Source organism: Homo sapiens, chromosome X (genome assembly GCF_000001405.40).
Source record: "Homo sapiens chromosome X, GRCh38.p14 Primary Assembly".
Classification (NCBI taxonomy): Eukaryota; Metazoa; Chordata; class Mammalia; order Primates; family Hominidae; genus Homo; species Homo sapiens.
Genome location: NC_000023.11, coordinates 100,722,165 through 100,734,265, shown reverse-complemented (window position 1 = coordinate 100,734,265; position 12,101 = coordinate 100,722,165). Strand labels below are relative to the sequence as shown.

The 12,101-nt window shown below is 46.4% G+C and overlaps 1 protein-coding gene across 19 annotated transcripts in view; it reads left to right on the top strand.

The window, feature by feature from the left end:
* Positions 2,145–12,101, top strand: part of SYTL4 (synaptotagmin like 4) — a 57,631-nt gene continuing 47,674 nt past the window's right edge. For 8 of the 19 annotated variants that reach the window (NM_001370163.1, NM_001370162.1, NM_001370160.1 and 5 more), the window contains exons 1-2: positions 2,145–2,262; positions 2,761–2,848. The gene's annotated coding sequence lies outside the window, so the exon portion shown is untranslated. Of the gene's footprint in view, positions 2,263–2,731; positions 2,849–12,101 lie in introns of those variants that run through there. The other 11 variants (NM_001370161.1, XM_017029968.2, NM_001129896.3 and 8 more) reach the window with 2 other exon arrangements.

Below are 12,101 nucleotides of genomic sequence, written 5' to 3'. Positions count from 1 at the left end.
ACCGTGCCTGGCCTCTAAATCCTTTGCTGTTGTTTCAACAGAGTTCACATCATCTTCACCAGGAGTAGATTCCATCTCAAGAAATCACTTTCTTGGTTCACACAGGAAGCAACTCCTTGGTCAGTCAAGTTTTATCATGAGATTGCAGCAATTCAGTCACATCTCTGGGTTCCACTTTTTTTTTTTTTGAGATGGAGTCTCGCTCTGTCACCCAGGTTGGGGTGCAGTGGCAGGATCTCGGCTCACTGCAAGCTTCACCTCCTGGGTTCACGCCATTCTCCTGCCTCAGCCTCCCGAGTAGCTGGGACTACAGGCGGCCGCCACCACGCCTGGCTAACTTTTTGTATTTTTAGTAGAGACGGGGTTTCACCGTGTTAGCCAGGATGGTTTCGATCTTCTGACCTCGTGATCTGCCCGCCTCGGCCTCCCAAAGTGCTAGGATTACAGGCGTGAGCCACTGTGCCTGGCCTCTGGGTTCAACTTCTAATTCTAGTTCTCTTGCTATTTCTACCACATGTGTAGTGACTTCCTCCACTGAAGTCTTGAACCCTTCAAAGTCATCCATGAGGGTTGGAATCAACTTCTTCCAAACTCCTGTTAATGTTGATATTTTGCCCTTCTCCGTTGAATCATGAATGTTCTTAATGGCATCTAGAATGGTGAATCCATTGCCTTGAGTGGCATGTTGTCATTTACTGATATAAGAAATACTGGAGGAGGAACAAATTTAAGAGAAAAGATGGTAGGTTTAACTTTGGATGTGTTGAATTTGAGGTGTCTGCAGGACATTCAAGTGGAGATGTCAAGAACACAGAACTCAATAAAGCAGTCTGGGTAGAGTTATAGAATTAGAGTTGTGACCATATATATGGTAATTAAAGCCAAGTGAGTGAAAAAGATTATTTGGGGGAGGGAGTATATGTATCCTAGCCCTGAGAATGTCTGACTTTCAGAGGTCAGATAGCAGAAGAGTGGCCTACAAAGGTCACTGAGGAGAGGGCAAAGGAGTAGGAGGAAAAGCAAAAGAGTAAAATGTCATAGATGCCATAGAAAGTTTCAAGGACGAGGAAATGGTTAACGGTGTTAAATGTAGGGGAGAAGTCAAGCAAAATAAGGACCAAAAATACCTTACTTATTTATGGATTTATTGACACTGAGGGTCATTGTTTGTGTATCTCATTGAGAAGTTTCAGTGGGGGAAGGAAGCCAGACTGCTGAGAGCTAAGAAATGAATGAGAAGTAAGGGAATAAAAATTGCAATTTCACCTGTGAAGTACATTTTCAATACATTTGCCCATAAAGAGGACCTGAAGAGGGACCTCCTGTGTAGGGAGGTTCTTTTTTTAAGATGGTAGATACTTGAGCATGTTTAATTGCTGATGTGAAATGAGGGGGAGAGGGATGGGAGAGGCAGGGAGAGGAATCTGCAATTACTGGGTAGGTATAAACATTTTCAAGTCTATTGATACATATTGCTCACGTGCTTTCTAAAAGGGTTTTTAACCAACATATGCTGCTATCAGCAATTAAGACAGCTTGTTTGGTGGCTACTTTGTCATCATTAAGTGTTATTAAAAAATAAAAAATATCTTTGCCAAAGAATCTCATTATTGTTCTAATTTGCTTTTCTTTGATTACTAGTGAGTTGGATATTTTAACCAGTTGTGTCCTTGAGTGTGTATGTATGAATTTAGTCTACGCTTTTGCCCAAAACGTTTCTATTTTAGACAGACATTTATTTGCCATAAAAGGCCACAAGTCAAAGGATCAGAATGGTATTATATTTTATTTACTCAAATTAGATAGTTCATACTCTTTTATCTTCTTAGAAGTGTGAGACAATTTGACAACTTTTGACTCAGCTGAACGAAAGAGACAGGTGATTTCACCGTCTAAGAGAGTGACCAACAGATGGAAGTAAGTGGGTGAGGAGGCACGTCTAGTGTTAGACCCCTATCCTCAGTCCCCAGGCTCCCATTCCTAACCTGGAAGGACATTCCTCTTGTGTCTCAAGGCTTTGGGTCCCAGAGCTCCCTTTTGGGCTGAGTGGCCCCCTGCTAAGGAGCCCGGGGCGCTGTGCGGCCCCTTTAAGAGTCCAGCTCCTCCCCGCTCCAGGGAAAGTTGCAGCTTTTTCCGCCTCCCGGGAGGGTGAGAAGGGCCGGCTGCCGGAGCTGGGTTGCGATCTTCCCGGAGCCGGAGACCCTCCCTTGAAACCGGCACTGGGACTTCTCGATCTCTGGAGGCACCTGTTGCAAGTGACAGGTAGGTCAACAGCCAGCGGCCGGCCCCTCGCCCTCGGTCCGGTGCTCCTTCTGGACCCCCAGCTCCTTTTCGCTGCTGAAGCGCCCCCACCCCCATCTCGGGGTCGTGCGTCTTCCCTACCCGCTCTCTGGTCCCCCAATTTTTCCTTCTCCCTAGCTGACCGCGTCTCCCCTCTCCCCGTCCGCCTCTCCCGACCGCATCCCCAGGCTTGGACTCCCGTCTGCTTGGGCGGTCCCTCCCGGCCACTTTTCTTTCTCCAGGGCTTCTTCTGGCCCCTTCCCTGACCCACCCAGCACTAATGCGGTCTGTGCCCCTCTGGGAGCCGCCTCCCCTCTCCTCTTCGGCTCCCCTCGCGGGGAGTGCCCGGGCTTTTTCCCGCCAGCCCGAGCTGGTGCCCCTCCCGAGAGCTGGCCCTGGGGGCGGGGGCGGGGCCGAGCTCCTAGCGGGAACTGCGCCCTCCAAGGCGTCCAGTCACCTTTTCGTGGGTTCCTCTCACAGCGCTCGGCCGTCGAGCGGGGTCGCTAACCCGCACTCTCTTCGGACCTACGACATCGCGGCTTCTCTGGCGTTGGCCAGTCAGCCACAGGTAAAGGCTGGAGGCTGGTTGGCTGGAGTCCTGCCTCAGTGGGCTCCCTCTGCGCTTGGGGCTGGGGACCTGGCTGTGTGCTGTGGAGCTGCTTTATATTGCCGCTCTTCAAGCAGGCTGTGAGAGATCTGGTACTGGAGGAGGGTCCCCGAGATCTCAGAAGGGGCACAGAATGCTTCTGTCTCCTGTGTTGGTTTGTAATGGGGCAGAAAAAGGTGTTCCTCCAACCCTTAACATTGAATGAGGTGGGATTTGGGGTGGTGAAATCATTTGGTTAGAATTCTGGTGGCTTGAAAAGTGGTGACTTTCTAATCAAGCTTTTCTTCCCCCAGTACCCTGCTTCTTCAGGATTAGAGGACGTAAAATTCCAGAGTACTGTGCTTGGCAGGGTTGACCCTAGACCTTGTATATTTGTGGCAAAAATGAGTCTTCTGTACATCCTGGACCTCCTATATTTAACTGGCTTATTTTCTGCTCTTTAAGCTCCCCACCCCCACCTCTCATAAATCTATTAATATTGAGGTATTAATGACTTAAGACTTTTGTCGCTGTGGGAACAATGTTTAATGCAGAGACGTGGCCTTGATGAAGTTTTCTGCGTTTTTGGTTGTTTGGTTTTTAGCACCCTAGTAGAAAAGCACCACCAACTTGGCTTGTGAGGCCCTTTTTGGGCAGAGGATGAACATTTCTGGTAACACAATTTCAGGTGTCTCACTCTTGGTCAGAGCAGTGAAATGGAGCTGGAGGCCTGTTCTGGGGTAATTGATCTGTGAGTATATGTAGCATTCTGGCTCTCTGAGCTTGTTAGGCTCTGGTTGTTAGGCTCCATTGAGCTGGACACTGTGATAAGTTCTTTACATAAAAATGCAATCCTCACAATAACTCTATACAGTAGGTGCTACAGTTATAACCATATTATGATGAAAAAGAGACTGAGAAGTTAAGTGCCTTGCCCTCAAAATCTCGGAGGCAGAGCTTGTGTTCCTATCCTGTCACACCACCTCTGTTGTCTTAGATGTTGGGAACACTGAATAGCTCATGGATGAGGACTAAGTGATTAAAAAATTGTCTTCCAAGCCCAAGTATATGTTTTTCTCCTTGCTTCCACCTTAGATGCACTGCCGAGACTATGGACTACTTACCTTACTGATGTCTTACCCACTTCATTTCCAACATGGGCCAGTTGCCACGTTACCACTATAAGTACACATCCCTGAGTGTAATTAGATGAATGAAATCTCCCGGGTTTTCAGCTCTGTGGTAATTGTCCTGAAGTTAGGGGAGGGTAACCCTGGATTCTAGGGATGTGTGCCTGACTCAACTTCTTCCTCTCCTGCTGGCTAGGGGAGAAATGAGGGAGTGGTAAGTGATATGGATTTCCTGACAGCCATACCAGAGAGCCTGAGGGTGATCGTGTGCTAGTTTTGTCATGGGATGGATGGAGTACCATAGACAAGGATAGGAAGAAAATGTCCTCCCTATTCCCATCTCTGGGACTTTGCTCAAACTGTTCCTTTTTTTCTTCCTAAAAAGCTAACTTTCCTCCCTCATTCCCCCTCCCCTGACATTAATTCCTATCCATCCCTCAAGATTGAGTTCTAAAGTCACCTCCTTTGGAACGGCCTTACTGAACACATACTTCTTCCCCCAAGCAGAATTGCCAGTTATCCTGTGTCCTAAAGCACTTTGTTTACACCTCAGTAAAGCCCTTAACACTGCTTAGTTGTTTTTCCACCTGGAAGGCTGTAAGTTCTCTAAGGGCAAGGTCTGGATCTCGGAGCTCCCTTTGTCTTAAATATAAGATGTTGGCAAATATTTGTGCCAGTAACCGGACATACCATGCCATTCCTTCAAGGGGCTGAGGTGTAGTGATGGTGGGGTTGAGGTACAGAAGACACCTTCCTGAGGCACTTGAAATACCACAGCTAGGAATTTGCCCTGACCACCCTATTTAAACGTGTAATCCCTTCCCTGAACATTCCATATGCCCTTTCCCTACCTTATTACATTGTTCTTGCTTATTGTCTGCCCTCCCACTCCCTCACCCACCATAACATAAACACCCTGTGGGCAGGGATTGCTGTCTGTTGTATTCACCAGTAGACTCTTGGACCCAGAACAGTCCTTGGTACATCATAGGTGCATACTAATATTTGTTAATGAATTAATGGCATTGCCATTCTAGGAATTTGGCACTCTTGGAGTTAGGCACTCCTGGACCTGAAACTAAGCCTACCCAGTTTGTCGCCCTACAGGTGTAAGTTTGCCCCAGGCCCAAAACTCAGCTTTACTTCTGCTGATTTTTGCTTTGAGATTGCATTCCTGATGCCAACTTTGACCTAGTTGGAAGTACTTCCTCTCTCTTACTTTTTTTTTTTTTTGAGGCAGAGTTTCGCTGTGTCGCCCAGGCTAGAGTACAGTGGCGCGATCTTGGCTCACTGCAAGCTCTGCCTCCTGGGTTCATGCCATTCTCCTGCCTCAGCCTCCCGAGTAGCTGGAACTACAGGCGCCCGCCACCATGCCCGGCTAGCTTTTTGTGTTTTTAGTAGAGACGGGATTTCACCGTGTTAGCCAGGATGGTCTCGATCTTCTGACCTCGTGATCTGCCCTCCTCGGCCTCCCAAAGTGCTGGGATTACAGGCGTGAGCCACCGCTCCTGGCCTCTCTATTTTTTAAAAGTATGAGTCTCTGGGTGGAAATCTCTAAAGTTTAAAAGTGGAAATGTAAAAATGTTGTGCTTCTTGTTGGTAGGAAGGGGGACTGCACTGGGAGGAAGGGGTGTGGATTGTCAGATGTCTTGAGGCTTTTCAGGCTTCTCGCAAGATCAATAAGAGGCTGGAGAAAGTTACTGTGCAATGGGGAAGTGAACAGCTCAAAAGAATAACGGATGGCACAAATTAGGCTTCTGGTTTCAAGTTACCCATAGCCTTTTAGGTATGAGGTGGTTATTGGATTATGGAACTTTATGGAAAAGCCGTAGCTGAGTGCTATTTGTGTTGTACTTAACTAGTTTTCTACCAGGATGACTGTGCAGTCTGGAGAAACCACTGTGTAACATAAAAGAAAAAAGTGCTATTCTGTTTAAAAGTGTTTTGAAATGTTCAGAAAGGAAGAGGCCAGAATCTCTTAGAAGACAGACTTGGAAGGAGTTGGGCCCTTCAAAAGGTGGTAAATATGTGATTCTCATCATTTAATATATGTTAACTTATTTGAAACTCAAATTTGTACAAAAAGCTGACCAGCTTCTTTTTCTACTAAATTTGTCTCCCCAGCCTTTGAACATTGCAGTGACCTGGGGTTCAGTCCCTGGACTTTTCTCCATCTAAAATCTTCACAGAGGCTCTCATCCAGCTGCATGGCTTTGAAGAACATCTGTCTAGACTGTTGTCACTCCCAAATTTATGTTTGTTACCCAGGCCTTTCTTCTAAGCTGCAGCCTCATATATCCAATGACCTATTTGACATCTCTGCTTGCCTATCAGATAGACCTCTCAAATGTAACGTGGCCAAAACGGCACTCCCGATTGCCCTTGTATTCCCACCCTCTTCCCTCAGCACTCCCTGTCTCAGTAAAATGTCACCATCATCCATTCAGTTGCTCAAACCAAGAACCTAAGATCACCCTTGATTCTTCTTTTTCTATCACTGCTCTCCACCCAATTTAATTCATGAGGGAGTCCTGCTGACCTGATCTTCAGACTGTATCATGTGTTCTGCCACACGTCTCCATCTCCTCTGCCTGTCACCCTAGTCCAAGCCACCACACGTCTGCCACAAACATTCTTGCATAATGCTCAAGGATATATATATACACAAGTATTTTTGTGGGATAGCTTTCTAATAGGAGAATTGTTAGGTCAAAGGACATATACATTAAACAATTTAAATAGGCATCACCAGAGTGACATCTAAGAGGGTTTACCCTTTCACCATTGCGAGTGGTTTTCCTCCTGCCCTTGCTGAGGATGGATGACGCTTTTAATTTTTTCCAATCTGATAGGTGAAAAATAGTATCTAACTGATTTAACTTGGCATTTCTCTGATCACTAGTGTGGCTGAGCATCTTTTCATTTGTGCTAGCTATTTGTATTTTTCCAAGACTTGCTCCTTTATATCCTTTGCACATTTATCTTTTGGGTTATATATTTGATTTGTTTGTAAGAACACTATATTTATTAGTTATATTTACCCATTGCCTATTATATAGTGCAAGTTTTTTTCTCTCTAGTCTGTCATATGTCATAACTTTGTTCATGATGTGTACCCCTCTCGTAATCAGATAAAACCCACTATAAAACATTTAAAAAACACGTTCATTAGATTTGGCAATTAGGAGGCCAATGACAACATCAGTGCAGCAGGAGGAGAGAAGGCAGATCGTAGAGGGTTGGGCAGTGAGGACTGAGAAGGACTGATAAAAAATATGGTAGATACACATGGACATGGAGAGTGGGATGATAGACAATGGAGACTCAGAAGGGTGAGGGGTGGGAGAAGGGTAGATGATGAGAAATTTCTTAATGGGTACAATGTATGTTATTCAGGTTATAGATACCCTAAAGTCTCTGACTTAACCACTGCATATGTAACAAAATTGCATGTGTACCCCATAAATTTATATAATTAAAAACATGTAGTATATACATTGAAGAAGCTTGGCTATGATGGGAAGGAGAGAGTGTTCCTTATAGACAGTAAGGCACAGGGGATAAAAAGGCTGTTTTATTTAATTTTGTTTTACTTTAAATATAAGAGATAGATGAGCCCATTTATGTGCAGATGGCATACAGCTTGATGATGCAAGGTCCCCGAGAAAGTCAGAGGGTGGGAGTGCCAGAGTGAAAGAGGAGAAAAGACTAGCCTTAGAGAAAAAGTGGTGGCTCTTCCATTGAAACAAGAGGATTCACCAATCCTCTTGGTAAAAACTATGGAGAAGGAAGTACCTGTGGAGGGACAGGATTTTGAGAGAGCCCCTCCGCCCCCAACAAGAGAGTGAAAGGTTCACCAGAGAGTAAAGAAGGCAAGAATGGTGAAGGGTTGGAATAGCATTTGAGAGAGACGAAAAGAGGAGTTCTTTAGGGGCATATCATCCAGGTTATGTATGTGTATTTCAAAATATCATGCTGTACACCATAAATAGACACAATTTTTGTCAAGTATACCTCCATAAAACTGGAAAAAAGTTTTAAAATGGCTTGGGTAACTTGAATTTGTCTCTGCCTCAAGTCGCAGAACCCTGTATCCATTCTGTCTGGCAGCACTCATCAGACCAGGAACAGAGTGTGGACAATCTAGTATGGGGAATTTTTTCCGGGTGGCCGTGACAGAAATAGGGAGAGGGCTGGAGATTGGATGGCCCTGGCAGAAGAATAGTTGAAATGATGGACCACTGTGGCTTTCATATTCATATCTGTGACTATCTAAACCTAACTTGACCTTGAGTAATTTTTAAGAAGTAGAAAATTTCCATGGCATCTACACTGCTTCTTGTTTGTAGCTCTATCGATTCAGGCATCAGAATACCATTAGTATCAGTGTCTTTAAACTCATCAGAAAGCGTGATTTGATTTACTGAGGGCCTATGTTGTGCCATGCTCTGTGTTGATTTACTGAGGATTTACGTTGCACCAACTGAGAGCCTACAGTCAGGATCCTACAATGTAGATTTATCCATCTATCCATCCATCAACCCAGCTAGATGCTTGAGGTATGGCTGAGAAGAAGGTAGACAATGGCCATTTTTCTCCTGGAACTTATTTCGGCAGGGGAAGTGTATATTAAATATTGTATCACATAATTTTTTAATTACAATTGTGATAAGTTCTGTGAAGTTCAGTTTTCTTAGAAATCAGATTGTCACATTGCTTTTTAACAGGCCTTACTAATTTACATTTGCCAACAAAATATGAGAATATCTCTTAAATCCTTTTTAAAAACTGAAAATTGTCTTTCTGAAATTTTGCTGAATTAATAAGCAAACATAAAAAAATCTTTATTGCCAGTAAGAGTGAAACTTTTTCTTTTTGATGTGTATTGGCCATGTGATTTTTCCCCTTTAAGAATTATCTATTCACGCTCTCTGTCTATTGGATACTTACCTCTTCTTGTTTTTAATAGATCTCTCATTCCATGTTTGAAACCATTAGCTACACTTCTCTCCTTTCTCTCTTAGCCCTGGTGACCTTAAAATATTTTCCCCTAGTCTCTACGGCCATTCCCTTTTGATCTCCTGTGAAATTTTTTTCTTACCTAGAAGTGTTGCTGTGCTTAGGGATGGGACTACATTTTTATTACTTGACTCAATAAAAGGTAACATATAAATCTTCTGTTCCTGCTTATCCCACTCTCCAGAGGTAACAATGTTAAGATTGTATTTCTTTCTAGACATTTTTCCATTCATCCATGATCCAATCTGTCTAAAATGTAAACAAATAAAAATGGAATCATAATATATATGATTTGCAATTTTTTTAATTTAATATGCTTTCAGTGTCAGTATATATAGAACTACAGTACCTTCTTCTTTTTTTTTTTTTCTTTTTTCTTTTTATTGATCATTCTTGGGTGTTTCTCGCAGAGGGGGATTTGGCAGGGTCACAGGACAATAGTGGAGGGAAGGTCAGCAGATAAACAAGTGAACAGAGGCCTCTGGTTTTCCTAGGCCAGAGGACCCTGCGGCCTTCCGCAGTGTTTGTGTCCCTGGGTACTTGAGATTAGGGAGTGGTGATGACTCTTAACGAGCATGCTGCCTTCAAGCATCTGTTTAACAAAGCACCTCTTGCACCACCCTTAATCCATTCAACCCTGAGTGGACACAGCACATGTTTCAGAGAGCACAGGGTTGGGGGCAAGGTCACAGATCAACAGGATCCCAAGGAAGAAGAATTTTTCTTAGTACAGCACAAAATGAAAAGTCTCCCATGTCTACCTCTTTCTACACAGACATGGCAACCATCCGATTTCTCAATCTTTTCCCCACCTTTCCCCCCTTTCTATTCCACAAAACCGCCATTGTCATCATGGCCCGTTCTCAATGAGCTGTTGGGTACACCTCCCAGACGGGGTGGTGGCCGGGCAGAGGGGCTCCTCACTTCCCAGTAGGGGCGGCCGGGCAGAGGCGCCCCTCACCTCCCGGATGGGGCGGCTGGCCGGGCGGGGCGCTGACCCCCCCCACCTCCCTCCTGGACGGGGCGGCTGGCCGGGCGGGGGAGCTGATGACCCCCCCACCTCCCTCCCGGACGGGGCGGCTGGCCGTGTGGGGGGCTGACCCCCCCCACCTCCCTCCCGGACGGGGCGGCTGGCCGGGCAGAGGGGCTCCTCACTTCCCAGCAGGGGCGGCCGGGCAGAGGCGCCCCTCACCTCCCGGACGGGGCGGCTGGCTGGGCGGGGGGCTGACCCCCCCCACCTCCCTCCCGGACGGGGCGGCTGGCCGGGCGGGGGGCTGACCCCCCCACCTCCCTCCCTGACGGGGCGGCTGGCCTGGCGGGGGCTGACCCCCCACCTCCCTCCCGGACAGGGTGGCTGGCCTGGCGGGGGCTGACCCCCACCTCCCTCCCGGACGGGGTGGCTGCCAGGCGGAGACGCTCCTCACTTCCCAGACGGGGTGGCTGCCGGGCGGAGGGACTCCTCACTTCTCAGACGGTGCGGCTGCCGGGCGGAGGGGCTCCTCACTTCTCAGACGGGGCGGCCGGGCAGAGACGCTCCTCACATCCCAGACGGGGCGGCAGGGCAGAGGCGCTCCCCACATCTCAGACGATGGGCGGCCGGGCAGAGACGCTCCTCACTGCCTAGATGGGATGGCGGCCGGGATGAGGCGCTCCTCACTTCCTAGATGGGATGGCGGCCAGGCAGAGACACTCCTCACTTCCCAGATGGGGTGGCGGCCGGGCAGAGGCTGCAATCTCGGCACTTTGGGAGGCCAAGGGAGGCGGCTGGGAGGTGGAGGTTGTAGTGAGCCGAGATCACGCTACTGCACTCCAGCCTGGGCACTATTGAGCACTGAGTGAACGACACTCCGTCTGCAATCCCAGCACCTCGGGAAGCCAAGGCTGGCGGATCACTCGTGGTTAGGAGCTGGAGACCAGCCCGGCCAACACAGCGAAATCCCATCTCCACCAAAAAAATACGAAAACCAGTCAGGCGTGGCGGCGCGCGCCTGCGATCGCAGGCACTCGGCAGGCTGAGGCAGGAGAATCAGGCAGGGAGGTTGCAGTGAGCCGAGATGGCAGCAGTACAGTCCAGCTTCACCTCTGCATCAGAGGGAGACCGTACCTTCTTCTTTTTAACAAAGGCACAATATTCCCTAATATGTGTGTACAATAACTAGTCAGTTTCCTTTGATGGATGTTTATGTTCTTTAATTTTTTTTTTTTTGCTGTTTCAAATATTGAGCATCCTCAGAATATATATTTGTGAATTTACTTGAATATCAGCAGAATAAGTTTCTCAAAATGAAATGGCTATGTTAAAAATATGGTCAGTGGTACTAAAGATCCAGAGAAATCTAGGAAGACCAAGAACTGTCTATTGGATTTAGGAAGTTCTTGGTGACCTTAGAGCAATTTCAGAGAACTGTGAGGCAGAAAGCTAAACTATGGTGGGTTGAGAAATGATTGGAGAGATGAGGAAGTGAAGGCAGTGATTATGTACAATTCCTTAGAGAAATCTGTCTGGCTTTGAAGAGCAGAGAAAGGGTAGTAGCAAGGAAGGAGTTGAGATTGAGGACCTGTTATTTATTTATTTATTTATTTATTTAGGAAGGACTTGAGTTCCTTTAAAGGCTGGTGGGAAGGAGGGACTAATTAATAGAGCAAAATCCTTGGAAGGCAAAGTCCTTATGCCAGATGGGAGGGGATCCAGATTGAGGTAGAGGATTATCCTCAATAGGCATAGATGAAAGTAGGTTCATAGATTTGGCGGCAGGAACTTGTCTGATGGTATTTCTATTTCTCTATGATATAATAGTTAAGGCCAACCTCTTAGAGCAGGGGTTAAGATGGGACAAGGTTTGAGTTAGATATTTGTGGTATTTGAAGAAGGTTTGAAATAGTTATTGTGGAGAACAGGAGAGCAGCCTAGGGAAGCATAGTTGCAGTGCCAGGCAGGGTTAAGATGAGCTTGGTGACCAAGAATTCATATGGATAATAATCTACCAGAGTGTGATTTTTTTTTCTCCAGTAGATCTCAGGAGTCCTTGTGCATGCATAAAGTATAACAGTTGGGCTTAGAAGAGCTATGGTTTTTTAAATCAGAT